At 47.2% G+C, this 25,204-nt stretch overlaps 1 protein-coding gene across 4 annotated transcripts in view, besides 1 other annotated feature; it reads right to left on the reverse strand.

The window, feature by feature from the left end:
* GTF3C1 (general transcription factor IIIC subunit 1) overlaps positions 1 to 25,204 on the reverse strand; it is an 89,301-nt gene that overhangs the window by 51,597 nt on the left and 12,500 nt on the right. For all 4 annotated transcript variants that reach the window (XM_047434036.1, XM_017023188.3, NM_001286242.2 and 1 more), the window contains exons 5-6: positions 21,082 to 21,178; positions 16,389 to 16,512 (exon numbers count right to left, since the gene is read on the reverse strand). In XM_047434036.1, the coding sequence (XP_047289992.1) occupies positions 16,389 to 16,512; positions 21,082 to 21,178 (221 nt within the window). The remainder of the gene's footprint in view (positions 1 to 16,388; positions 16,513 to 21,081; positions 21,179 to 25,204) is intronic.
* Positions 14,148 to 14,348: a silencer, noted in NCBI's record as "peak2546 fragment used in MPRA reporter construct". NCBI's record gives its function as "represses an SCP1 promoter by STARR-seq MPRAs in K562 erythroleukemia cells {active_cell/tissue: K562}" and the evidence as "EXISTENCE:reporter gene assay evidence [ECO:0000049][PMID:32103011]".

Raw genomic sequence — 25,204 nt, forward strand, 5'->3', positions numbered from 1 at the left:
CTCCATGACAACAGGAGACGCGCCTGTCTCTTCCTGTTCCCTTCCCAGCACCCAGGACACGGCCCACACTCAGGAGGCACGCGAGCAGTATTTGCCAAAAGGATGAAAAGCATCTTTTTCCTTTTAAGCTAATACTCACTGCCAATAAGGTGTGGCAGCAGTGTAAACGAGCTGTATAACCCTTCTAGAGCATTTCAAGGGGATTTTATAATGATTCCAAGTGTAAATATTTATTCCAAGAAAACAACTCAAAAAGAGGCAAAGCCTATCAGTACTAATAGATCTACTACAGCACTCTTTATAGCATCAGAGCGATCTTATGCATACTACAAAAAAACCAGCAATGGGGGTGGAGGGGTGGCATACCTACCAGCCATCTCACTTTCTGTGGACTAGTGTGTGCATTCAAATCATCACACTGTGTGATGCATCTATATTGCAACCTACAAAAGTAAAACATGCGAAAAAAATAACAAACTTGTGCCTACGGCTATAACGAGAGAAAGATATACGTATATGTAGGTAAGAACTAGAAAAGGTACAAGGAAAAATGGGGACTTCTTGATACTTGACATGAGCTACTCATTTGGTTCCAACAACCCTCGGATGAAGATGCTAGGGAACCAGAGGGGTTGAATAACTTGTCCAAGCTCCTGACAGCTTGTAAGTGACGGGAAAAATGACTCAGTCACGGTCATAGGTCTCCAACATGAACACCAAGATATCCTGTGATACGCGACAACCTGGAGCGGGACAACCACCCTGTAAAGATGTTCACGTCTTCATCCCCAAAACATGTGAACATGTTGCCTTCCATGGCCAAAGGGACTTGGCAGAAGTGATTAAATTAAGGCATTGTGGATTTTTGAGGGTCACTGTTGCCAGGGTGAAGTTAAGAATTTTGAGGTAAGATTATCCTCGATTATCTGGGTGGGCTCAATGTAGTATCACAGAGTCCTTAGGCTGGGCATGGTGGCTCACATCTGTAATCTCAGCACTTTGGGAGGCCAAAGCGGGGAGGATCACTTGAGCCCAGGAGTTTGACACCAGCCTTGGCAGCACAGCAAGACCCAACTCTACAAAAAATGTTTAAAATCGGCCAGGTGTGGTAACATGTGCCTGTAGTCCCAGCTACTCAGGAGGCTGAAGTGAGAGGATTGCTTGAGCCTGGGAGGTCGAGGTTGCAGTGAGCCAAGCTCGCACCACTGCACTCCAGCCTAGGTGACAGAGTGAGACCCTGTCTCAAAATAAAACACTGAACAACAACAACAAAAAGTCGTTAAAAGAGAGGCAGTAGGATCAGCGTGAGAGACTGGAAGATGCTACACTGTTAGATCTGAAGACAGAGGAAGGGACCACAACCCAGGGAATGCAGGTGCCTCCTAGAAACCAAAAAAGGCCAGGGAATGAATTCTCTTCTAAAGCCTCCGGAAGGAACACTGCCCCGCAAACATCTTGATTTTACCCCAGCGAAAGCCATTTCAGATAGCAATAAATCTGTGTGGTTTGAAGTCACTAGGTTGGTGGTAATTTGTTACAGTAGTCATAAGAATAACAGGGACAGCTTCTCCACCAGCTTTCATCAGCACATCGATGCACAGAATCCTGGGTGCTACGGCAAGGAGTGGGCACTGACGCTGGCCCTGGAGCCCAGCCCTCTAGTACAGAACCCTGCCCGTGAAGTGTGAAATGCCATCCCCAACAGCACAGAAGACTGAGGTCCGAGGAAAGTCAGGCCCAACCACCTCCACTCAAGCAGGAGGTTCTTTTGGGGGCAGAGCATGTGGCTTGCAGTTGAAGTTCACAAATAAGCATCTCAGGGCCTGGAACTCAGGAGATGCCTGGAACTCAACAGACCTCTGGAGACACTCTAACGGGGGCCAGCCTAGGGCAAGAGGCCAGCAGAAGTGGTCCCCAGGCACCAACCTTGTGTTGACCCCTCCACTCCTCACAGCATCAGAAAGTCCCCCAGGGCATGGCTTTTCATTAGAGGCAATCTAAGGCCCCGGCGCAAGCCTGAAGACTCTGCTTCTGCTGGCTCCCCGCCGGGGCTCCTGCCGTCCCTCTTGGCTCTGCCCTGTGCTCCAGGCCCCTGCCCTGCCCTCTCCTGCAATCCCTCTCTTTCAGAATGGGAGGCTTAAGCAATCAGGAGGGGAAGTATGGGGACAAGGAGACTTTCGGGACTGTGGACATGAGCAAGAACTATCTGAAGGCTCGGGCACTGGGACAGGGTCACAGTGCCAGGCTCCCTTTCTACAAGCAGCACCTCTAGCAGCTGGTGGTCAACACACCCAGCACACAGGAAGACCAGACCACCATGCCATTCCCCCCTAGACTGTCCTCTAGACAAGCCCCTCCCAACCCCCATCCTACCATGCTGCTCACATGAGCAACCTATGGCTCCTAATAACACTACGACCATTTATCCATTACTATATCCTGGATGCTGTCCTAGGCTCCCCGTGTACCCTATGAACTGACCCTCACCATGGCCTGAGGAGGTAAGGGTGATCATTCCAGTCCCACATGAGAACACTAAGGAGCCAAGGAATTCACACAAACAAATGCCCCTTTGCTAGTGAGAAGGTGGCATTTACCAGGCAGTCTGGCTCTGGAGCCCAGGCTCTAAACCTTTGGTTTAGACGCCCCTGATTCAAAACGTCCCTGTGACTGAGAATAGAAGAGCGGCGCGGCGCCAGGGACGCTGGCTTCTGCCTGAGCAGCAGCACGACACAGCACTTGGGGGAGTCAGACCTGAGGCGCCCTCAGCCAGTGGCCCAGCGCTATTTCTTCTCCTTTTAAGCTTCCTTAAGAGGCTAATTGGCTAGGAAAAGATACACAGGACAGCTCTCAAAATAAACACGGGTGGAAGGCAAGAAACGGTACTAGTAAACTCATGACTCAGTGGGCAAAAAAGAGAAAAAGCCTCATAGTCTTCAAAGCTTCTGATCTTGGCTGGGAGCAGTGGCTCATGCCTGTAATCCCAGCACTTTGGGAGGCCGAGGTGGGCAGATCATTTGAGGTCAGGAGTTTGAGACCAGCCTGGGCAACAGAGCAAGACTTCATTTCCATAACAAATACAAAAAATTAGCTATAGGCGTTGGAGGTGTGCATCTGTAGTCCCAGCTACTCGGAAGGCTGAAGCAGGAGGATTGCTTGAGCCCAGGAGTTTGAGGTTGCAGTGAGCTATGATCACACCACTGCACTCCAGCCTGGGCAAGAGTGAGACTCTGTTTCAAACAAAACAAAACACAACAAAAAAAAAAAACAAAAAAAACCCTTCTTCTCCCCACCAAGTTGGTTCACCGTCCTCACCTCTCTACTAGTGGAGCAACTGACATCCATTCCATCACAGCCTCCAACAAATGGCACAACTACCTCCTGAATAAACGTTTGGAGGGAAGGTAGGGATGAACTTGGGCTCCAGAGCCAGGCAGAGAAGTGTTTCCATCTCAAGTTCCATAGCTCCCCATGTCTGTGACTTTGGGGAAATTACCAAGTATGACTCTTTGTTTTCCGATCTGCAAAATGGGATGACAGTGTTCTCTGTCTCACGGGGTTAATGTTAGCATGGCTGAGACAGCATCTGTACAGAGGCTGGCATGGAGCAATCCCTCAACATGACCACCCAGCACTTGCTGGGAGCCAGGCACCATGCCAAGGGCGGTACATGAATTAACCCATAAAATCCCACAACCCCAAGGCAGGCAGGCCCCTGTAAGCTCCATTTCACAGATGCGGAAGCTAAGGCACTTGCTCAAAGTGATGGCGCTATGTAGTGGCAGAGCTAGGATGTCAGTGAGCCCAGGCTGCCAGCCTGCAGTGGATGCACTTGGCCAGTAGGGGAGTTATTCTGAACAGTACCACCAGCACCTAGCACAGGGGAGAGGCATTACAAACATCAGTGGCATTCAAGGTGGCGGGCCCCCCCTTATTGTGAGATAAGCCCCAAAGCTGCCCTCTGGTCACGATGGCTTGACTCCTAGAGACTCGTGCGAAGGCGCCCCCCTGCTCTGGTTCTCAGCATGAGGCTCAGTTGTTGGCCATGGAGGCTGAGGGCGATGCCAGAGGACTATGAGCTGTTCTGTGCAACAGAACAATAGGCATCATCAGCCCCAGGACCCACAAGGCACCCATGACCCAGAGTGGGTGCTGTGGGTGGGCCACAGCTGAAACTGGGCCCAGCGTGAGGCGGCTGTGCTTCCAGGCCTGGAGTGACTCTCCGGATATTTTGGCCATGGGATCTGCGGCTCTGCCTGCCCCACAGGGCATAGCTGATTTATCTGCTGTGAATCCCAACTGCTCTGACTCTCTTCTGTATCCGCCCGGCAAATAAGCCCTGTTTTATTTACCCAAGCTGTGTCTGGCTCTGCTCTTTCACAACATGCCAATCACAGACACATTTTCCTTTCCCCATGCCATCACATATATACATATATATTTTTCTTTTGAGACAAAGTCTCGCTTTGTCGTCCAGCCTGGAGTGTAGCAGCACAATCACTGCAGCCTCGAACTCCAGGGCTCACACGGTCCTCCCACCTCACCTCCGAGTAGCTGGGACTACAGACATACACCACCATGCTCGGATCTTTTTTTTATTTGTTGTAGAGACGGGATCTTGCTATGTCACCTAGGCTGGTCTAGAACTTCTGGCCTCAAGTGACATTCTTACCCTGGCCTCCCAAAGTAGAGGGTTATAGTCATGGGTCACCGAGCTAAGCCTGGTGCACATCTTTCCTTTGGAAAACCTTGTGCTGGAGAGGCAGCCCAGCACTGTGGTAGGGAAGCCAGACTCTCTGCCACAGAGCTGGCTGTGAGCCCTGCTGCTGTGTCGGGTGGGCCTGGACAAGGTGGCTGACCTCCCTCAGCCTCAAGTGTCTTGCCTGAAAACTAGGGCTGGTGACAGTGTTTAGCCTTGTGGGGAGAACGGTAAGAGATTAGGCAGGTAAACGACGGAACAGTGTAGTGTGTGCCTTGTGATTCCAAGGGACCATCTGGAAGGAGTTCCACCAGCCCTGTGTGCCTTTCCCACAGTTCTAGAGTTTTACCAGGCTCAGAATTTCAGTTTTTATTATTAAAATCCCTCTGGCTCCTATTTGCCTTTTTGAAGGTGCCTGTTCCAGACTACAAGTCAGCTAAAGCCAAAAGCCACAGGGGCAGAGCAAGACCCGAATAAGCGCACGTCATCCAGGGTGAGCGAGGCCTACTGCCCCATTTAAGCTGCCACCTCAGTGACCAGCAATTCCCCTGGGAGGAACTGGGGACTTGGCTAATGGCAACCCCTGGTCCCTGGACACAGGGCTTTCTTCCCAGGAACAAAAGGCAGGTGAGATACAACCAGCACCCGCTCACAGGCACGAGGAGTTTCAGGCATTTTAAAGACATGGCATGCTAATATTAGCAGTCCAACACAAAGGAATCACATAGATCTTTTGTGTCCAGGATCCAAGATGGACTTCATTCAGACATTCTGAAGACCCAGAAGAGAAAAAGAGAAGGAGTGACTCCTTAAGGAGCACCTAGTATGAGCCAGCCATTGTGTTCGGTGTTTTCGGAAGTGATTTTACTTACTCATCACGTGGCTTCTGCAAGTTATTATTGCCATTTTAAGAAAAAGAAAACTGACACTCAGAGTGGTCATGTGATCTAACCGATGCCTTCCACACTAGGCCACCTGGCTAGGCTAGAATTTCAAATTTCCATCAGAAGCACGATTCATAGTAAAGGAAAAACCAGAGTAGCTGTGAGGCGGAACCAAGAGTCTGTGTTTCTCCCATTCCCAGTGAAAAATCCATCTGGCTTCCTGGCAAAATGGCGCTCTCAACTGTGATCAACCCAGGAAAGAAAAGCAAGTTGGGAACAAACGAACCCCACGGCAGCTTTCCTCTTTAAGGGTCACAAGCAATGGGAAAGTCCTACTGGTAAGCCAGGCAGACGTCATGTAAATTCAGTGTTACCTCCCCACCACCCCCGCCCAAGACACACACACACACACACACATGCCTGGCCAGAGGCTGAAAGCACAGAATTCAGGGAACACTGAATGACGGAGGTGGGGTTGCTGCAGCACACACCCCAGGGCAATGGTGGTACAGGTTATATTATGGGCTCTGGAGTCAGTCTGTCTGGTGTTAGCTTGCCTCCAGCAGCCTTTGCTGGTTGTATAACTTGGCTATGTAATATGGCCTCTAGGCCTGTTTCCTCAGCTATAAAATAGGGACAATAATAGTATCTTCCTCATAGAGTCCTTAGGACAGCGCCTGGCATGGAGGTAGTGCTCTGTAGATGTTTGCTACTGCTTTTACAACTCTGATCGTTACTACAACCTTGGAAACACACAGCTTTGGAGGATCAAGTGTCATACCCAGTCACCTGGGCTGAAAATATCAGAGAGTGCTTGGGGCCTTTAATTCGATTTGATTCCACAACCATTTCTTCTGTGCTGGGCCCAGAACATGTACAGATGAAAGAGACAGGCTTCCTGCCCCTACAAAAGGTTGTGTGTGTGAGAGAGGCCGTCGGGCAGCATAGGAAGGACAATGTGCTCAGGCTTCACATGCCTGGGTTTGAATTCTGGCTCAGCCATGGGGAAGCTCCTTACCTCTCTGAGCCTCAAGTTCTTCATGGGTAAAATGAGGGTAATTCTAACAGCATGCCTAGAATAAGCTGGTAGTAAGGACTAAATTAATGAATGCATTCAAGGGCCCTAGCGTAACACTTGAGGCAAATTAGGCACTCAACGCATGCTCTCTGGTTGGCTGACTACTAGCAGACTAGCAGGGCCAGCCAGCCATGCTGGGAAATGTGCTATAACACCCTCAGGACCCCGCTTTAAGCACGCACAGAGTTTGGAAATGAGAAAGAGACAGGATGGGGCTAGGCAGGGGACAGCAGAGAGAGGAGGTGGCATTTGGGTGGGACAGTAAAGGATACTAAGAATTGTCTGATAAGGCAGAAGAAGACAGGTGTTCCAGGCAAAAGGAAGGGTATGAGCAAAGGCACTGAGGTGGAAAAGAAGGGGCCTACTGGGGAAGGGGAGGGGAGAGGGCAGGAATGAAGGTGAGGATACGGAGAAAGGTAGCTGTGGAAGGTTTCTATGCCAACCATAGCATATTTTCTTGTTTATTTTGTAGGCATGATGTTTGGGACTGAGTGGAAGCTATTTCTGCAGTGGACATGGAAGCTGGCTTGGAGGGAGGGAGGCCTGGAAGGGAGTCCAGATCTGCAGACCCTCAGGCCCCAGGGAGCTGTCCTAGGCTGGTTTTACCTTTAGCCAGTGTCCCAGCCAGGCTCAGGCCCCAAGCACTCACCTACCCAACTTCCACTTCCTCCTGAGTTCAGCCCAGTCTCACATGGGAGGCAGCAGAGTAAGTAACCGATCCTCTATTCAAATCCCTGCACCAGCACTGCCCAGCTCTGTGACCTTGGGCAAGGGACTTGTGCCTCTGTTTTCTCATCAGTGAAATAAAGAAAAAGAAAGAGGGCAAGAGAAAAGAGAAAAGCAAACAAAAGAAAAAAGAGAGAGAGACAGAAGGAAAGAAAGGAAAGAGAGAGAAAGAAAGAAAATACTACTGACAGGATTGCATGCTTAGAAGGACTAGAATGAAAGAAACAAGGCTGGACATAGAGGCTCACGCCCATAATCCCAGCACTTTGGGAGGACAAGACAGGAGGATCACTTGAGCCCAAGAGTTCGCGACTGGCATGGACAACAAGCAAGATCCCGTCTCTACAAAAAAAACAATTTTTTAAAAAAATTAGCTGGTGTGGTGGCACACCCCTGTAGTCCCACTACTTGGGAGGGTAAGGTGGGAGGATTGCTCAGCCTGCGAGGCTAAGGCTGCAGTGAGCCATGATCACAGCACTGCACTCTGGCCTGGGTGAGACAGAGTGAGACCTTGTGTTTGGTTTGGTTTTGTTTTGTTGACATGGAGTCTCACTCTGTCACCCAGACTGGAGTGCAGTGGCGTGATCGGCTCACTGCAACCTCCACCTCCTGGGTTCAAGCGATTCTTCTGCCTCAGCTTCCTGAGTAGCTGGGATTACAGGCGTGCGCTAACACACCCGGCTAATTTTTGTATTTTTAGTAGAGATGGGGTTTCACCATGTTGGCCAAGCTGGTCTCCAACTCCTGACCTCAAATGATCCACCTGCCTCGACCTCCCAAAGTGCTGGGATTACAGGCATGAGCCACCATGCCCAGCCAGCCTTGCCTGGAATGTCATCTTGATGTTTTTTCTACTTCCCCCCACTCCAAGACTGACCACAAAATGGGATAACAATATGGCATCTCACCCAGTTCTTTCCTCTTTTTAGTGCCTCTAGACAAGCCCACAGGGTCTTAGGTTTTTCTCACTAATTGTACAAGGAAACAAGGGTACTGACAATAGTACATGTGGGGGTTTACAAGGGTTTAGAAAATTATATAAACGCTCTTGGTATACAGCTTCAGAGTCAATCACCTCCTTAAACCCTTGGGCTGAGTTAGTAGCTGACTTGAGGTCCCCAATGCTTTTTTTGTTGTTGTTGAGATGGAGTTTTGCTCTGTCGCCCAGGCTGGAGAACAGAGGTGTGATCTCAGCTCACTGCAACCTCCGCCTCCCAGTTCAAGCGATTCTCCTGCCTCAGCCTCCCAAGTAGCTGGGATTACAGGCACCTGCCACCATGCCCAACTAATTTTTGTATTTTTAGCAGAGATGGGGTTTCACCATGTTGGCCAGGCTGATCTTGAACTCCTGACCTCAAGTGATCCACCCACCTGGGCCTGCCAAAGTGTTGGGATTAGAGGCCTAAGCCACAGCGCCCAGCCTCCCCAATGCTCTTAAAGCGCGATCAATAGATGGGAAGGGCTGGTGTCAACTGTGCAGTGCTAACAGCAGCAGCGAACCTCTCTTGAGGGCTCTGAGCCAGGAGCTATTTAAGGAGGCCACATCCGTCACTGAGAAACATCCAGTCCCTGCACTGGCCCCATGGATACCTCCGCTGCCAGGCCCTCACCCTGTACGGTCATTTCCTGTGCTCACAAGTTCTGGCACTTGCCTTCGACTCTTCCTAGCGCAGGGAGCATTCCCTTCTCAGCCTGTAAAGGCATCAGCTAGCTACACCTTAGAGAGGTCTTGCGAGAAAATCTTAGGGCCTCTCCCTCAGCGTGTGGCCAGTCACCCACCCTGTTCCAGCCTGCTTCTCTTCCCCAGTCCTCACGCTCCTCCTACCTGTCCCCAGTGTGCTCTTCTGAGAAACACAACACATTTCCCCGCTGAGGGAGGCCAAAGGCTCCTGCTGTCTGCAGGACTGAGTGGCTGGTCCTTCCTGGGGGAGATCAGCGGGGAAGAGGCCAGTTCCTGGCAAAGGGCGCTCCCCAGGTGTCTGGGTCCCCTCGAGAGAGCTGCCTAGGACTCAGCAGAAGTTACTCAGCCCACAAATTCACACCTTTGGGGCTCTTACCCCTGTTTTAAGTTCTGGCTTTCAACAGAGCTTCTGCCATATTAACATGTCTTTCTTTTATTTCTCTTATTCATTTTTTAAGCTAGTATTCTTTAATCACTTTTTAACTATTTTAACCATTTTCCCTCCAGCATAATCAATTTTCTAGGCTTTTAAAATTTCTGAAAATCTTTTTCTGCTTTTTTTCTGTTCATGTTCACCTTTTATCCTTTTTGTTTTTCTAATCTTGATTCTTTTTAATTCCAGTTTTTTGGTTTCAAAGCTCCTTTAAACCTTTGTATTTATTTGTTGCATTTTAATCATTCTTCATATGGTTCATTTCTTTTCTCTTAGCTTGTATACATCAATCCTACTTTAACTTTTCAACTGTTCCTGTTGGCCATTTTAACTATCATAATTTAATTTGCTATACCTTGCTAGGTTTCTTGGATATTATTTACTTTTTAAAATTTTAATAGCTTTATTGAGATATAATTTGCATATCACATGATTCATCAATTTATCTGTACAAGTCAATGGTTTCTTACTACATTCACAGGCCTCTGCATCCATCACCAATCAATTCTAGAACATTCTCATCACCTCAAACCCTTTCTCACTCCTGTCTCCCTGCACCCCTCCCCTAAGCACTCACTAATCTACTTCCAGATTCCCCCATTATGGACTTTCCTATAAATGGAACCATACAGTCATGGCCTTTCATGACTGACCACGCCTTCCCCATCAAATGGTCTTGGCACCTTTGCCGAGAATCATTTGACCATAGATGTGTGATTTATTTCTGGACTCTCAGTTCTATTCGGTTATCTGTCTACCCTTGTGCCAGTATCACACTGTCTCCATTACTACTGCTTTGCAGTAAGTTTAAAAAGCAGGAAGTGTGAGTTCTCCTACTTTGTTCTTCTTTTTCGGGATTGTTTTAGCTCTCTGGGTCCCTTTGCATTCCCTGTGAATTTTAGCATCAGCCTGTTAATTTCTGTGGAGGAGTCAGTCAGGATTCTCACACGGACTGTGTGGAATCAGTAGATTCGTCTGGGGAGTATCACCTTCTTAATACTGTGAAGTCTTTGGATCCAGGAACCTGGGATGTTTTCCATTTACATAAATCTTAACTTTCAGCAACATTTTGTAGTTTTCACAGCGTATATGTTTTGTACTTCTTTTGTTAAATATATTTCTAAGTTATTGTGAACAAAATTGTTTTCTTAATTTCATTTTCAGATTGTGCACGGTGGGTCTACAGAAACACAATGGACTTCTGTATACCGATCTTCTGTCCTGAAATCTTACTGAACTTTTTTTTTTAGAGTCACAGGGGCAACAGCTCTGAGGAGAGTCGATCTCATTCACAGCTACTTCACCCCACAGCCCTTTCAATGCTGAACTTGTGACAACCTGAAAAACCTAGCCAGTTGACCACCTCAGTCATTAGCCCCAGGGAGCACAATTTCTGTGAGTTGTTTCCAACTGTGATCATTTTCCGACAGACTGCTGAGTTAACTTCTACTTCTCTCCCTTTCTCTTCTCAGCACAATTTAATAAACACAGGATGACTGGTAAACACTTGAAGAAAATAATCCAAATTTGCAAAACAGATCAGTTCAGGGGGGCTGTTTACATTACCAAAGTTTTTTTGCTTTTTGCAAAACAGATCACTGAAGCCTTCTGTGCAGTGAAATATGCATTTGAAATAAGCCTAAATCCAAATTCGTTAAGGAGTTTTAAAAATAATTCATATACTAGATCCAGGTATATCTGTAAATTTAAATGAAATAATACATCATCTTTATTTATTATTTGAGCTTTGTCTCCTCCATAATGCCTTAGAGGGAAGGTTTTATGTTAATTTTGCAAACTGGAAAGACAAAGCTCAAGGCAAAAAAACCCTGAAAACTGCCTTCATCCCTTGCCTCCTGCGCACGGAAAGTAACTGAAGCGGCACTTAATTAAATTAAATTAAATTTGCTCAGCATCTGCTTAGCACCTACTCTGTTCCAAGCAGACACTGTACAGCCTTTAAAAAGGACATAAAGCATGTAAAGCGTGTGGTCACCACCCTGAAGGAAGTCATGAGCTAGCTAGAAAGAACTTACACAGATGAGTAACTGGGCTACGGCGTGCCATGGAAGTGAGGGAAGGACTCACCATGAGCCCAGGTTTCCAGCCGCAGCAGCAGAGAGGTGGGCAACAGTATGGGCAAAGACATCATCCCTCCAGCAATCAGAATGGCTCCTTGTGCATGCATGTGACAATCTAAACATCCTGACCGTCATCATCTTGGTGCCTGCTGCCTTAATCCAGCACAAGGAGCCAAAACCACCACTGTCTGTGCTGTAAGTCATGCTAATCTTTCTTCTGGAAAGTCCTCTTGTCCCAGCTCCAGGCCTCAAGATGATGGAAACCACTCACTGGGCAATGGGTCCTACGCATGAACTTACTTTCAAGGGTCAGGCAAATGACATACCAGCATGAAGCAGGCCGCAGGCTATACAGTGGGAAGCGGGTGTCTGTGGTGAAAGGGGAAGGTGAGCCCCTCCGAAATGGGGCAGCTCCCTCTGCCTAGCCAACTGCTAATAAAGGAATAAAGTTCAATGTTTCCTAATTGTATTTTTATAGGGAAGGTGACAGTCAAGACTTTTTAGGTGAAACTTTCTGATTTTTAAATGCCGGCAACAAATTCAATACAAACAAACACTGTGAGCCAAATAAAACACACGGCTAGATTGGGCCTGTGTGTTATCAGCCTGTGGCCCTGCTCTATGTCTACTGTCACCTGTAAGTCTCACAATACCCTGGAAAGTGGGTACTATTACCCCCTAGATAATTCAGATGAGGAAACTGAGGTATACAGAGGTCAAATCACTTGCTGAAGGTCACCTTACCAGACAGTGATGGAACAAGAATTCTAACCCAGGGCTGTCTTACTCCCAAGTCCATTCAGGTGTGAGGTGTTAGTTTCAAGTTAGTTTGGTTAGTTTAAATTTCCAGGGACCTTAGGCTAGGGAGAAGCCTTTCTCTACAGTTGCCTGTCTAGCAAAAAAGGTTCTTTAAGGAACTAAGGTTCCTCCTTAGTTTCTCTTTACTTTAAATATAAATTACTTCTGTCTTTTCCTTAACACCTTTCTTCCAACAGGACAGAAAATAAAAATGATTAACAGCTCCACAGGCCATGAGTATTTAGGTATTCAGGCCATTAGACTTCAAAATCAAATACTGAGGGCTGAGTGCAGTGGCTCACGCCTGTAATCCCAGCACTTTGGGAGGCTGAGGCGGGCAGATCACCTGAGGTCAGGGGTTCAAGACCAGCCTGGCCAACATGGTAAAACCCCATCTCTACTAAAAATACAAAAATTAGCTGGGTGTGGTGGCGCACGCCTGTAATCTCTACTTGGGAGGCTGAGGCAGGAGAATCACTTGAACCCGGGAGGCAGAGGCTGCAGTGAGCCAAGATCATGCAACTGCACTCCAGCCTGGGCAATAGAGAGAAACTCTGTGTCAAAAAAAGAAAAGAAAGAAAAGAAAAGAAAGAAATAAAAGAAAAGAAAAGAAAAGATCAAATACTGAGGAATCACCTAACAGTTAAGTCCCCAGGACACCTCTCAGTTCCGTGAGCCTTTTTTCTTCCTTGCCACAGGACCCAACAATCTTTTCTATTTTCCTCTCTACTTAAAGGCTGATGCTACCACACTTTTCCTCAAGGAGTTCCAGTCATTCAACCAATCACACATTTACTCAGCACTGAGAATGTGTTAAACACTAGGAACTCAAAGATGAGGTTTTGCTCTAGGAAGGTTTCCTAACCTCCCAGCTGTTCCTTCTTTGTTTATATACCTGTGGTATTGTAATTATCTGTGTGATACCATCTCCTCCACAAGACTTTTCTCAGACACAGGGAAGCCAGACAGGTGGCCAGTGCTTCCATTAACTAAGCTAGGAAATAAAGGAAGAGACAAGCTTCCCTAGATGGGCAGTTCACAGTCTCTTGACAAATACGCCTGCCTACCTTCTGCAGGGCACTGAGCCCCGCCCTGGGGGTGCTGTGGGTCTGTCCTCATTCAGCACACACTCTCCTGAGGAGTGTGAATGAAGTCGGTCTCCACAGGCAACTTGCTATGCCCACAAAGTCAAGCACACAGGCTATAAGCAATCTTTTCTTGTACACCTTTTGGGTTTCCTTGGAATTAATAACTGCACTTTTTGCCATTTGCTTGGTTTTCTATGAGCATGTCACTAACTCTAAGGATTCTTTATTTTTCAGTTTCTTCTGCTCCCTACTTTATTTCAGTATCCTATGTTTGTTTCTTATGAGTTTTCCTGAAATATTCAGGGAGGCATTAAAATGCTGCCCAAAGCCCTGTGTTTTGGAAGTGGAGAGGAGGAAGGGAGAAGTTACCATCAGGTGGGCTTCCATGAACAGGGAGCTTGCAGGGGCTATTTTGTTGGGAAAACCCCCAAATTTCAGTATCTGGAGGATTTTTCTCATGGACTGGTCAGTTTCTTCAGAAAAAGAAGTCTCCAGCCTCTGGCCTAGGAAACCGTAAGTCTGGCTGTCAGTGTTGGAAGAGCCAAATGGTTCTAGGAGCCCACGTTCCCCTTTGGGAAGCTACTGGAGGATGCACATCAAACGACAGACTAAAACAAGAGACGGCCAAGCTGGGAGCAGCAGCTGGGAAACTCTCACCTAGCAAGACTGTCACAGAGCCCTCATTTTTGGCACAGTGCCCAGTCTCCAGCTTGGTCTCCTATCTCTGAGCCTAGAAACCCTCCAGCATGCTCTGTAGAGACAATGCCAGACTTCTGTCTCTGCGGGGAAGGGCCTCTTACAGGATTGCAACTTCTCACACAGACCATTAACCAATTCTCTTGTTTCTAGCCCTATCCATACTTACGCTTTCAAAGGCACCCAGTATCCCCAAGTTTTAGTTGATTTCAAGTTCTGAGGTGTCAGTTTTTGGCTATCGCCCTTCACAGGCACTTAGCTTTCCCAGTCTGGTCAGTCAGTCGCCATTTGCCCATCTACCTTTGAGCACCCAAATGTCATCACCAGCTCTCCCTTTTGTCATTTCCTGTCCTGTATTCTTTGTAGTTGAGGGTTTACTCCTCTTATATCCCTTTTCATCACTATGGTGAAGTTTGGGTGGAGTGCATATAAATGCATATATTCCAACTATCACCTTTTACTGAGAACTCTGACCTGCAGCTTTTAAAATGATTCTGGTTAATCAGGAGGAGTAAAAAGGATGGGACAAAAATCAAGAATAGATAAAAATAACTGGACTTGGTGGCTCACGCCTATAATCCCAGCACTTTGGGAGGCCAAGGCAGGAGATCACTTGAGCCCAGGAGTTCAAGACCAGCCTGGGCATGATAGCAAGACTTCGTCTCTACTGAAAATAAAAAGAAATTAGCCCAGCATGGTAGGGTTTGCCTGTAGCCTCAGCTACTCATGAGGCTGAGGCAAGAGGATTAGCTTGAGCCTGGGAGATCAAGGCTGTGGTGAGCCATGGTTGTGCCACTGCACTCCAGCCTGGGAAATAGAGCGAGACCCTGTCTAGGAAAAAAATATAACAGAGGCTGGAATGCAATGGCGTGATCTCAGCTCACTGCAACCTCTGCCTCCCAGGTTCAAGCGATTCTCCTGCCTCAGCCTCCTGAGTAGCTGGGATTACAGGCGTGTGCCACCACACCTGGCTAATTTTTTGCACTTTTAGTAGAAATGGGGTTTCACCATGTTAGCCAGGCTGGTCTCCAACTCCAGACCTCAAGTGATCTGCCCACCTGAGCCTCCCAAAGTGCAGGGATTACAGGCGTGAGCCACCGTGCCCAGACTAAGGAAGGTTTTTAAAGTTTCATAGTATGCTCCTTAAGTTAACTTTCTTAGAAGGCTCAGATCCTACCTCTGCTGAGTACTGATTGTTTAACCTTCTGTAAGTTACTCAGCATCTCTTCACTTTAATTTTCTTACATATAAAATGGTGACAATGCCACCAACCTTACAGGGCTAGATAACGAGATCATGCAATACAGAGTAGGCACTTCACAAAGGCAGGCTAAAGAATGATAAGTGGCTGGCAGTGGTAGCCCACGCCTGTAATCCCAGCACTTTGCAGGGCTGAGGCGGGTGGATCACTTGAGTCCAGGAGTTTGAGACCAGACTGGGCAACATAGCGAGACTTTCTCGCTACAAAAAAATACAAAAATTAGTCGGGTGTGGTGAGGCTGAGGCGGGAGGATCGTTTGAGCCCAGGAAGTGGAGATTTCAGTGAGCTGAGATGATGCCACTGCACACCAGCCTGGGCAACAGAGAAAGACCCTGTCTCAAAAAAAAAAAAAAAAGAGGCTGAGTGTGGTGGCTCACGCTTATAATCCCAGGACTTTGGGAGGCCAAGGTGAGTGGATCACCTGAGGTCAGGAGTTCAAGACCAGCCTGGCCAGCATGGCGAAACGCTGTCTCTACTAAAAATACAAAAAATTAGCCAGGCATGGTGGCGGGCACCTGCAGTTTCAGCTACTCAGGAGGTTGAGGCAGGAGAATTGCTTGAACCCGAAAGGCAGAGGTTGTAGTGAGCAGAGATCGCACCACTGCACTATGGGCGACAAAAGCGAGACTGCCTCAAAAAAGCAAAGAAAAAAAAGAAAAAGAAGGAGACTAGAGTGGCTTAATATAAGGAGGAAAAGATGAACTTGTTTATTTGGGCACCTGATAAAACTATGATTTTGGAGGACACCACAGAGATGTTTGCTGGAAGTTTGTTCAGCAAACATTTTCTAGGCACTTTTTATATGGACAGTCCTGAGCCAGGCACTGAGGCGCAGAGTTAAATAAATATGTGAAATCATTATGCCACAAGGCAGAATGTGATCAGAGAGAGAGAGGCTGAAGCTTAGAAGACAGAAGTGAGAGCCAGCCAGCCAAGGGAACAGAAGCTGAGACTCTGCATTACCTTTCTTTGTCTTACAAGGTCCACATTCAGGGTGGATCTCTTGCAAGCGAAGAGACACCACCTTGGCTAGCCCGGCGTTCAGCATATACTGGTACAGACGCTTAAACGTCCTTTCGCACAGCCCCTGCCAAAACACAATTTAAAGGCTACTATTAGACACAGCAAGATGTCTGAAATGACTAGAAAGTCATATAAATGAACACAAGTTCAGGACCTGAATTAATTGATTATCTTGAGGTACTAATGAGGAAAGCCTGCCAAGCTACCTTGTCAAGGGACCAAAACAAGGTCCAGAGCAGGATATAAACGATTCTACCTTTTGATTAGAGGGGGAAAGAGATTCGCTTCGCCAGATCCTGGAAGGGTGTGCAGGGGTGAGAATGAGGCAGGCAGGAGTGGAGGAGTGGAGACTGAAGACTTCATCTGATACCTTTTCATGTTGTTTTGATTTTTTAACCATGTAAGTGTATTACTAATACAAACACACACACACAGATACACACCCCTGTCCCCCATGGGCAGGAGAGAAAAAAAAGGGGAAAAAATAGGTTAAAAAATTTTACAGGCTGGGTGCAGTGGCTGACACCTGTAATCCCAGCACTTTGGGAGGCCGAGGCGGGCAGGTCACTTAAGGCCAGGAGTTTGGACCAGCCTGGCCAACATGGCGAAACCCCGTCACTACTAAAAATACAAACATTAGCTGGGTGCGGTGGCATATGCCTGTAATCCTAGCTACTCAGGAGGTTGAGGGTGAGAACTGCTTGAACTGGGAGGCAGAGGTTGTAATGGGCCGAGATTGCACCACTGCACTCCAGCCTGGGTGACAGAGTGAGACTCTGTTTCAAAAAAAAAAAAAAAAATTGTGAAAATTTAAATGTGGTCTCTGAAGTTACAACAGAATGATAATGGGTATTTCCATCTCATCACTCCTATTTTTGCAAGGCTGAAAACCAAAATGATCCTAGGAACATCTCCCCTGCAGGGGTGACCAACAGCAGCCTCCAGTGCAGGCGGTGCTTTTAAAATTGATACAATGTTTTTCTTCAAGAAAGTAATTTACTTGCCAAAATTGAAAAGTGAGTGATTTCACATTAAAAAAGACCTAGATTCTGGCTTCTCTTCAAAGGCTAGGACTGCAGCTCCTCACAGCAACAGTGAACAGAAGCCTTGATCAGCTGCTCTTCAGCAGGGCCCACCCGGTTCCAGGGGGCCACAGCCTTTGCGCTCCCCAATCAGACCCTCCAACAATGAAACTGAACGTCAGTTGCCATTTATCACCATTTTTGTGCTGGTTTTCTCTAATGGTAGTTAAGAGGAAAGTTAATTTCTTAAACCTATCCTGTATCAAAAATTTATTTTATACATGGCCCATTTTGCTTGTGGGTATCACCCTCCTGGGCACTGCTGCCATGTGATTTTGCAGCCCCTGGCAGGTTACCATGGCTCCCAGCAAGGGAGCGAATGGCAGGAGGCACTCGTGACTGAGAGCTGTTCACTGAATCTTACAGCTTTCCTCTTACATTCTGGGGGGAGAGACAGGGAGCAAATGTCTGTGGGCTGCCGCCGCCACATATGTGTGGTTACCTCCCAGGCTAACCAGCACTCCAGCCCTTGGGTGGCAGAACATATGGCTATCAAAACAATACAGATGACTCACATATGGCTCATTCAAAGCCACTGGCTTGTACATGGCATTTATCGTTAATCTAGCCGTGCCCCCAGCATCATAAAAAGACCCCATGGAAACTCATCCATCAGATCCCAGCCCTTGACATATGGCACTAAGCCCTGGACCATCCTAAGAGGGGAAGGATGATGTAGTCTTGCCTTCTGAGGGGCTGCCATCAACGACGTGCACAATCTGGCCAGCAGAAAGAGAAAGAGGCAGTGAGTCTTCGTACCAAATCCCCCCAAAAGGCAGCATCCATATTCATGGCCTCAGCTTCATCTATAGGCTAATTTATTCACTGAATCCTGCTCAGCTCTCTGTGACCCCAATTTCCAGCTGTTGACTAGACATCACCAGGGGATAGTCATGGAAGATCTTCATACCCAATATGTCTGAAACTGAGATTTGTCCTGTGCCTCCTCCTCACCCAAATCTGCTCCTCTTTCTGACCTATTTATTCAACTCCCATTCAGCAAATATTTACTGAGCCTCTACAGGGGGCCAGGCACTGTCTTCATCGTGGGGGCCCGCAGTGAGCAAGCAGACATGATCCCTGCGTCAGAAGCCTGCCTTTGCGCTGCCTCAGTGAGCAGCAGCCACTCCAGCGAAACTCACTGGCTTCATCTCGAGATCCTCCTTCTTCAGTCACCTCTACATCCCAGTGCAGGCACTCACCACGTCCTGTTAGTTTCACCTCCAAAATGTTTCTCAAACAATTCCAGCCCTCATGACCACAACCTCGCCACCTTCTTCCCATCCCCTTCCCTCCACCAGCTCATATGCCTAGACTGCAACCTCCACCTCCCAGGCTCAAGCGATTCTCTGGTCTCAGTCTCCCGAGTAGCTGGACTGGTGCATACCACCACCCCTGGCTAATAACTTCTTCATTTCTACACGGCCAGCAGCAGTGCATAAGGCTAAAGTTTCAAGGCTAAAGTCCCCACTCCTCAGCCAGCACTCCAGTCCTTTCTGATTGGGCCCCTACCTTCCTATCCAGCCACACAATGTGCCAGCTGCCCTCTGGATTACTGCCCACTTCTAAGCATGTTGCATGGCCTTCCACAACTCATGCCTTTGCACCAGCTCTTCTCCTTTCCCTCAAATGCCACTTCCCCTCTGTCTATGTGGGGAAAAGCCCAGCTCAACTGTGCTTTTGGCACAGCTCTTTGAGGCTTTCCCCAGTTCTCTAAAGAAAGCACCCCTTTCCCTCTACTGGCTCAGCTACATCCTTCCAGGTATGTGTTCACACGCCTGCCCTTCTGATTAGACAGCTCCACGACAGTGTGAGACCTGTCATCCTGGCTAACTTTCACCATCTTATTGTGGAACACAGTTCTAACTCAACATACACACTCCCTGAAGTATCTGTTCAATGAATAAGTGAAAGGCTGTCCAGTAACAGTCAAGGCTTGCTGCTAACACAGTCCACAGGGCTGACCTGAAACCAGACTAGCCCTGTCTCCCTGCCCCCGAGTGACTTGGTAGGAGAGAGGGTTTCAATCTCCAGAGTCTGCATGGGCTGGACAAGTAACATTAATCCACACGGTGGCCAGGTATTTGTTTATTAAGCCGGTAGGAAATTCCTTCGTTTCTGCCAGGGTTTCCTGAGAGGCCTTCTCCATCTATCTTTGATTTTCTACTCTGATAAACTGAGACACAGAGAAGCAAAACACTTCTCCCCTACTACAAACAGCAGTGCTCATGGAGTGACAAATGGCCCTGCCTCCCTGCCTCATGTCGGAGAGGTGACAGGAAGCAGGTGGACTGCGGGGGACCCAGCTAGTGCACAACTAGTTCCAGCTAACTGATGTCAGGAGAGACGGCAGGCCCAGGCTTCTCATTTCTGGAGACAGACTGGAAACCTAGATTTTTATGGAAAGTCTCAATTTCTTAAAAAATGCTAGGTCAAATTTATTTTTAACAGACCAAGTCTGGGCCACAAGCCTCCAGACTGTAACCACTGCTTTAAAGAGGCTTAGGCAGGCAGTGAATCTAGCAATGTGGAAGACACCTCCTCCCCCTGTGAACAATGAAATCAGAGAACTCCATCGATGCAACGTGGGGAAAGAACAAGGACTGTCCTGGTGCCTGCGGTCAGACAGAAGACCACTCATTAGGGGACTAACTACTAGTCACCAAAGAGCTTGACTTCAAATGTTCAGTTTTAAGTTCTGGTTTCACCTACAGGGCCATGTTGTTTTCCTCCCATCTCTAACGTTGGCTCTTTCCTGACTTGCACTGAAACCTTCCAGTCAGATTGGAAGCAGCTCCCCTCCGCCTTTCTCCCTCTCGCGCTCCCTTCGCCACAGCCTCTGCTCTGGGGCCCAAAGACGAAGCAGGTCAACAGCTGCCTTCCTCCCTGCGTCCTCTCCCCTCCCCCTCAGGACAGCCGCTCTGCTATTTCAGTACAAAACCACTGGGAACAAGATCATAAGCTTGATTACAGAAGTAAACCTAAATGCCGCATTTTCCTATTCCGTCTGAACTTTGATAATAGGTCCTAGAACGAACTCCAGGGGAGAAATGGAAGTCAGGCAAAGGCAAGAATTTAAATGAAGGACAAAGCACTCTTATTCTAAAAAAACAGCTGGGCACAGTGGCTCACCCCTGTAATCCCAGCACTTTGGGAAGCTGAGACAGAAGGATACTTGAGGTCAGGGGTTCAAGACCAGCTTGGCCAACATGGTGAAATCTGTCTCTAACAAAGATATGAAAATTAGCAGGGCGTGGTGGCGGGCACCTGTAATCCCAGCTACTCGGGAGGCTGAGGCAGGAGAATCGCTTGAACCTGGGAGGCGAAGGCCGAAGTGAGCCACTGTCGCACCACCGCACCCCAGCCAGGGCAACAGAGCAAGACTCTGTCTCAAAAAAGAAAAGAAAAAAACAGCAAACAAAGGAAAATCTCATTTGCATCAAATCCAGAATAGGGCTTTGGGTTGCAATTCATTCCTCTATGCCTGACAAGACCTCCCGGCTATGGTACAGATCACACCCAGCCCCGCCCGTGGGAAACCCCAGGCTCACCAGCTCTTCCCTCAGCTTTCCCAGCGTCTCTATGTGGTTAGTCCGTGTGCTCAGCATGACCGAAAGCTTCTCCATGAGGATGTCGTATTTGCTCCTCCTGCAAGAAACACCGAGCAATTCGTTTTTTCAAACCTGTTGCTGAAGTCAATATTTACTGCCTGTTTCTTAAAGATGACAAAGCAAGACTTGACTTAATCATTTTACAATAAATAACAGAATCTTTTAGGTCTCAAAGATCATCCAGCCCAACTCCTACCTTCTACAGGTGGAGAGACTGTGGCTGTGAGAGGTTCTGTCACGTCCAAGGCCACCTTTCTAGAGGCAATGTATAGACTAGACTCTAGCACTAAAACTTGCATGACATGATTCTGTAAAACACCTTTCATTTTTACAATACTTTTAAGTTTAGGAAGTATCACACATATCTTCTTACAAATCACTTGGTGAGGGGCCGGGCAAAATCCCAGCACTTTGGGAGGCCGAGGCAGGCAGATCACTGGAGGTCAGGAGTTCGAGGCCAGCCTGGCCAACATGGTGAAAACCTATCTCTACTACAAATACAAAAATTAGCCAGACGTGGTGGCGGGCGCCTGTAATCCCAGCTACTTGGGAGGCTGAGGCAGGAGAATTGCTTGAATCTGGGAGGTGGAGGTTGCAGTGAGCCGAGATTGCACCACTGCATTCCAGCTTGGGTGACAGAGCGAGACTCCATCTCAAAGAAAAACAAAAAACAGATCACTTGGTGAGGAAGGATGGGGGTTATTCTACAAAGTTAACACACTTTACGAAGTTCAGGCTGGAGACACAAACCTAGGTCTTCTTCCTCTAAAACCAGTCCTCTCCTCACTCACTGGGACGCCACTCTGAAGCTCCGGTTCCTGCTCCTGACTACACTGGCGTGGCAGAGCCTACCTTCCATCTCATTTCTACCGTGAAGCGGATGTCATGATCAATGCTTCCAAGCTAACGGCCAGCAAAGGAAGCTATTTAAAAACATTGAGGGCCCTTGACTGTGTAAGTCTAGTGGGAGCTCAGGGAGGGGTGCAGGGAGAAATCTTGTGGCCAGTTCGGCTGGACAAGCACAGCTTGGCTTGACTTACAGTCCTAGCAGAAGGGAGAGCACACGTATGGGATCCAGAGACTACACCCACTTCCCCATCTGTACTGCTTCTCAATGAATGAAAGAATAAATGGAGGGACAGACAGTTAATGCATATGAGCCACTCTGCATAGAAGGCACTGTGTCACAGCCATTTAATACAAGAGGCAACGGTGGTTCAAAGAGGTCAAGTGACTGCCCAAGTGAGGGGCAAAGATGGAAATACAGATCTTGACTTAATGCAGTGTTCTCTCTCCTACCCCACAGCTGCCACCCTGTGTTCTTGGGCTGAGCACAAGCTATACACAAGTGAAGAGTTTGGTGAGACAGTTACTTAACCAATGGATAGTATGACCCAATTAAAATGTGAATTCATAAAAGATGCTTCTCTCTAATACTGTACAGTTGGCTCTTGGACAACATGGGTTTGAACTGGCCGGGTCCACTTATACACAGATTTTTTTTTTCATATTTATTGAAAAAATATATTAGAAAATATATAAAAATATATTAGAATTGTTGGAGATTTGTGACAGTTTGAGAAAACTCATAGACAAACTGTATAACATTAGAAATATTAAAAAAATTAAGAAAAAGGTATGTCATTGATGCATAAAATATAGGTGGATACTACTTTATTTTATCATTCATTACCATAAAATATACACAAATCTATTATAAAAAGTTAATCAAAACTTATGCAACCACTTACAGACCATACACGGTGCCATTTGCAGTGGAGGAAATGTAAACAAACATGAAGATGCAGGATGAAATCAAATCTGCATAAAATTAACTGTAATACACAGTGTACTACTGTTAATAACTTCGTAGCCACCTCCTGTTGCTATTGTGGCAAGCTTAAGTGTTGTGAGCATTGGCTTAAAAATGCCATATGATGGGCCGGATGTGATGGCTCACGCTTGTAATCCCAGCACTTTGGGAGGCCGAGGTGGGCGTATCACCTGAGGTCAGGAGTTCGAGACCAGCCTGACCAACATGGTGAAACCCCATCTCTACTAAAAATACAAAAAAATTAGCCAGGTGTGGTGGCACATGCTTATAGTACCAGCTACTTGGGAGGCTGAGGCAGTAGAATTGCTTGAACCTAGGAGGCAAAGGTTGCAGTGAGCCGAGATCGTGCCACTGCGCTCCAGCCTAGGCAACCAAATGAGACTGTCAAATAAAAAAAAAAAAAAAAAAGCCATGTGATGCTCATCTCATCTCTGTGTGAGTAGTTCCTCTCCAGTAAATTACTTGCTGCAGTAAAAAGTGATCTCTTCTGAGGTCGGGAGTTCAATAACAGCTTGACCAACATGGAGAAACCCTGTCTCTCCTCAAAACACAAAATTAGCTGGGCGCGGTGGTGCATCGCTTGAGCCCTGGAGGCAGAGGTTGTGGTGAGCGGAGATCGCGCCATCGCACTCCAGCCTGGGCAACAAGAGCGAAACTCCGTCTCAAAAAAAAAAAAGGTGATCTCTTGCAGTTCTCACGTATTTTTCCTCGTGTTTAGTGCAATACCATAAACCTTGACTAACACCATGGGACCCACACAAAGTGCCACTAGTGATGCTGGAAACGCTCCCAAGAAGCAGAGAAAAGTCATGACATTTCAAGAAAAAGTTAAATTGCTTGACATGTACTGTAGAGTGAGGTCTGCAGCTGCGACTGCCCGCCATTTCAATTTATCTTGTTAACAGACAATGTAAACTTATGGTATCAATAAATACAGTACAGTGTTGTAAACGTATTTTCTTAATAACATTTTCTTTTCTCTAGTTTACTTTATTGCAATAATACAAGAACAGGCTATAACACATGGAACAAAATATGTGTTAACTAACTTTATATTATTGGTAAGGCTTCTGATCAACAGTAGGCTATTAGTAGTTAAGTTTTTGGGGAGTCAAAAGTTATGTGTAGCTGGGCACGGTGGCTGACGCCTGTAATCCCAGCACTTTGGGAGGCCAAGGCGGGTGGATCACTTGAGGTCAGGAGTTCGAGACCAGCCTGGCCAACATGGCAAAACCCTACTAAACTCTACTAAAAATACGAAAATTAGCCGGGTATGGTGGCAGGTGCCTGTAGTCCCAGCTACTCGGGAGGCTGAGGCAGAAGAATGGCTTAAATCTGGGAGGCGGACATTTGACAGAGGTGCAGCAATGATGATTTTCACCCCTGGAGATCCGCAGTCAATAAAGAGTCTACGCACATGTGTCAAGCACTTTCTTTGGCCCAACCCATGTGCACTGTAAACTTTAACATTTCTATGTAATCATTCCCCCCACTTTTGGAGGATGCACCTCCCCTCCCCATTATCCCTCATTGCTGCCTACCTCCACCCCAGAGAGCTGCTGGCCAGGTACTGAGGGCTCAGGGCTTCCTCAGCTAAGGGCTGCTCTTCCCAGGCCCTGCACCAGCTTGACCTTTTCCCATTCTGGCTTCTGCCCCTCCCACAAAAAAGGGCATGAGGTTGTGCAGTGAGGGCTGAGACCTCTGCAGAGTGGTGAAACTTTTCTGTCCCTCATTCCGATGCCAGGTAATTAGGTCACCCCAATGGCAAGGATGAAGAAGTCAGAGAACCTACTCACTCCCCCAGTCTCCCTGGTCCTCAGAAGAGAATGTGCACATTTTACCAGTTTGCTGTATCACCTGGACAACAATATCCTGCTAAAATAGCAATATCACACATTGTTATCGCTTAGCAGAACCTCGCCATCTTGTCCATATAGGTTATTATGGTTGAGTGCTGCAAAACATCCAATTTGAAACTGACATAATTCAACTACAATTCTGCCACCACAAGAAATCAAATCTGACTTACTTGTATTTTTACATCTCCCCAAAATGTCACCAAAATGTTAATGGTTCCTATTGTTAGCTGTGAAGCTACAGATTTATTTTTCCTTCTTTTCTGTATAGTTTCCTAGTTTTCTAAACAAGCAGGACTTATTTTCACAAAAAAACAGATAACAAATGCCATTTTTTAAAAAAGCTATAGTCATATTCTAATTTGGCTTCTAT

Source organism: Homo sapiens, chromosome 16, assembly GCF_000001405.40.
Source record: "Homo sapiens chromosome 16, GRCh38.p14 Primary Assembly".
NCBI lineage: Eukaryota > Metazoa > Chordata > Mammalia > Primates > Hominidae > Homo > Homo sapiens.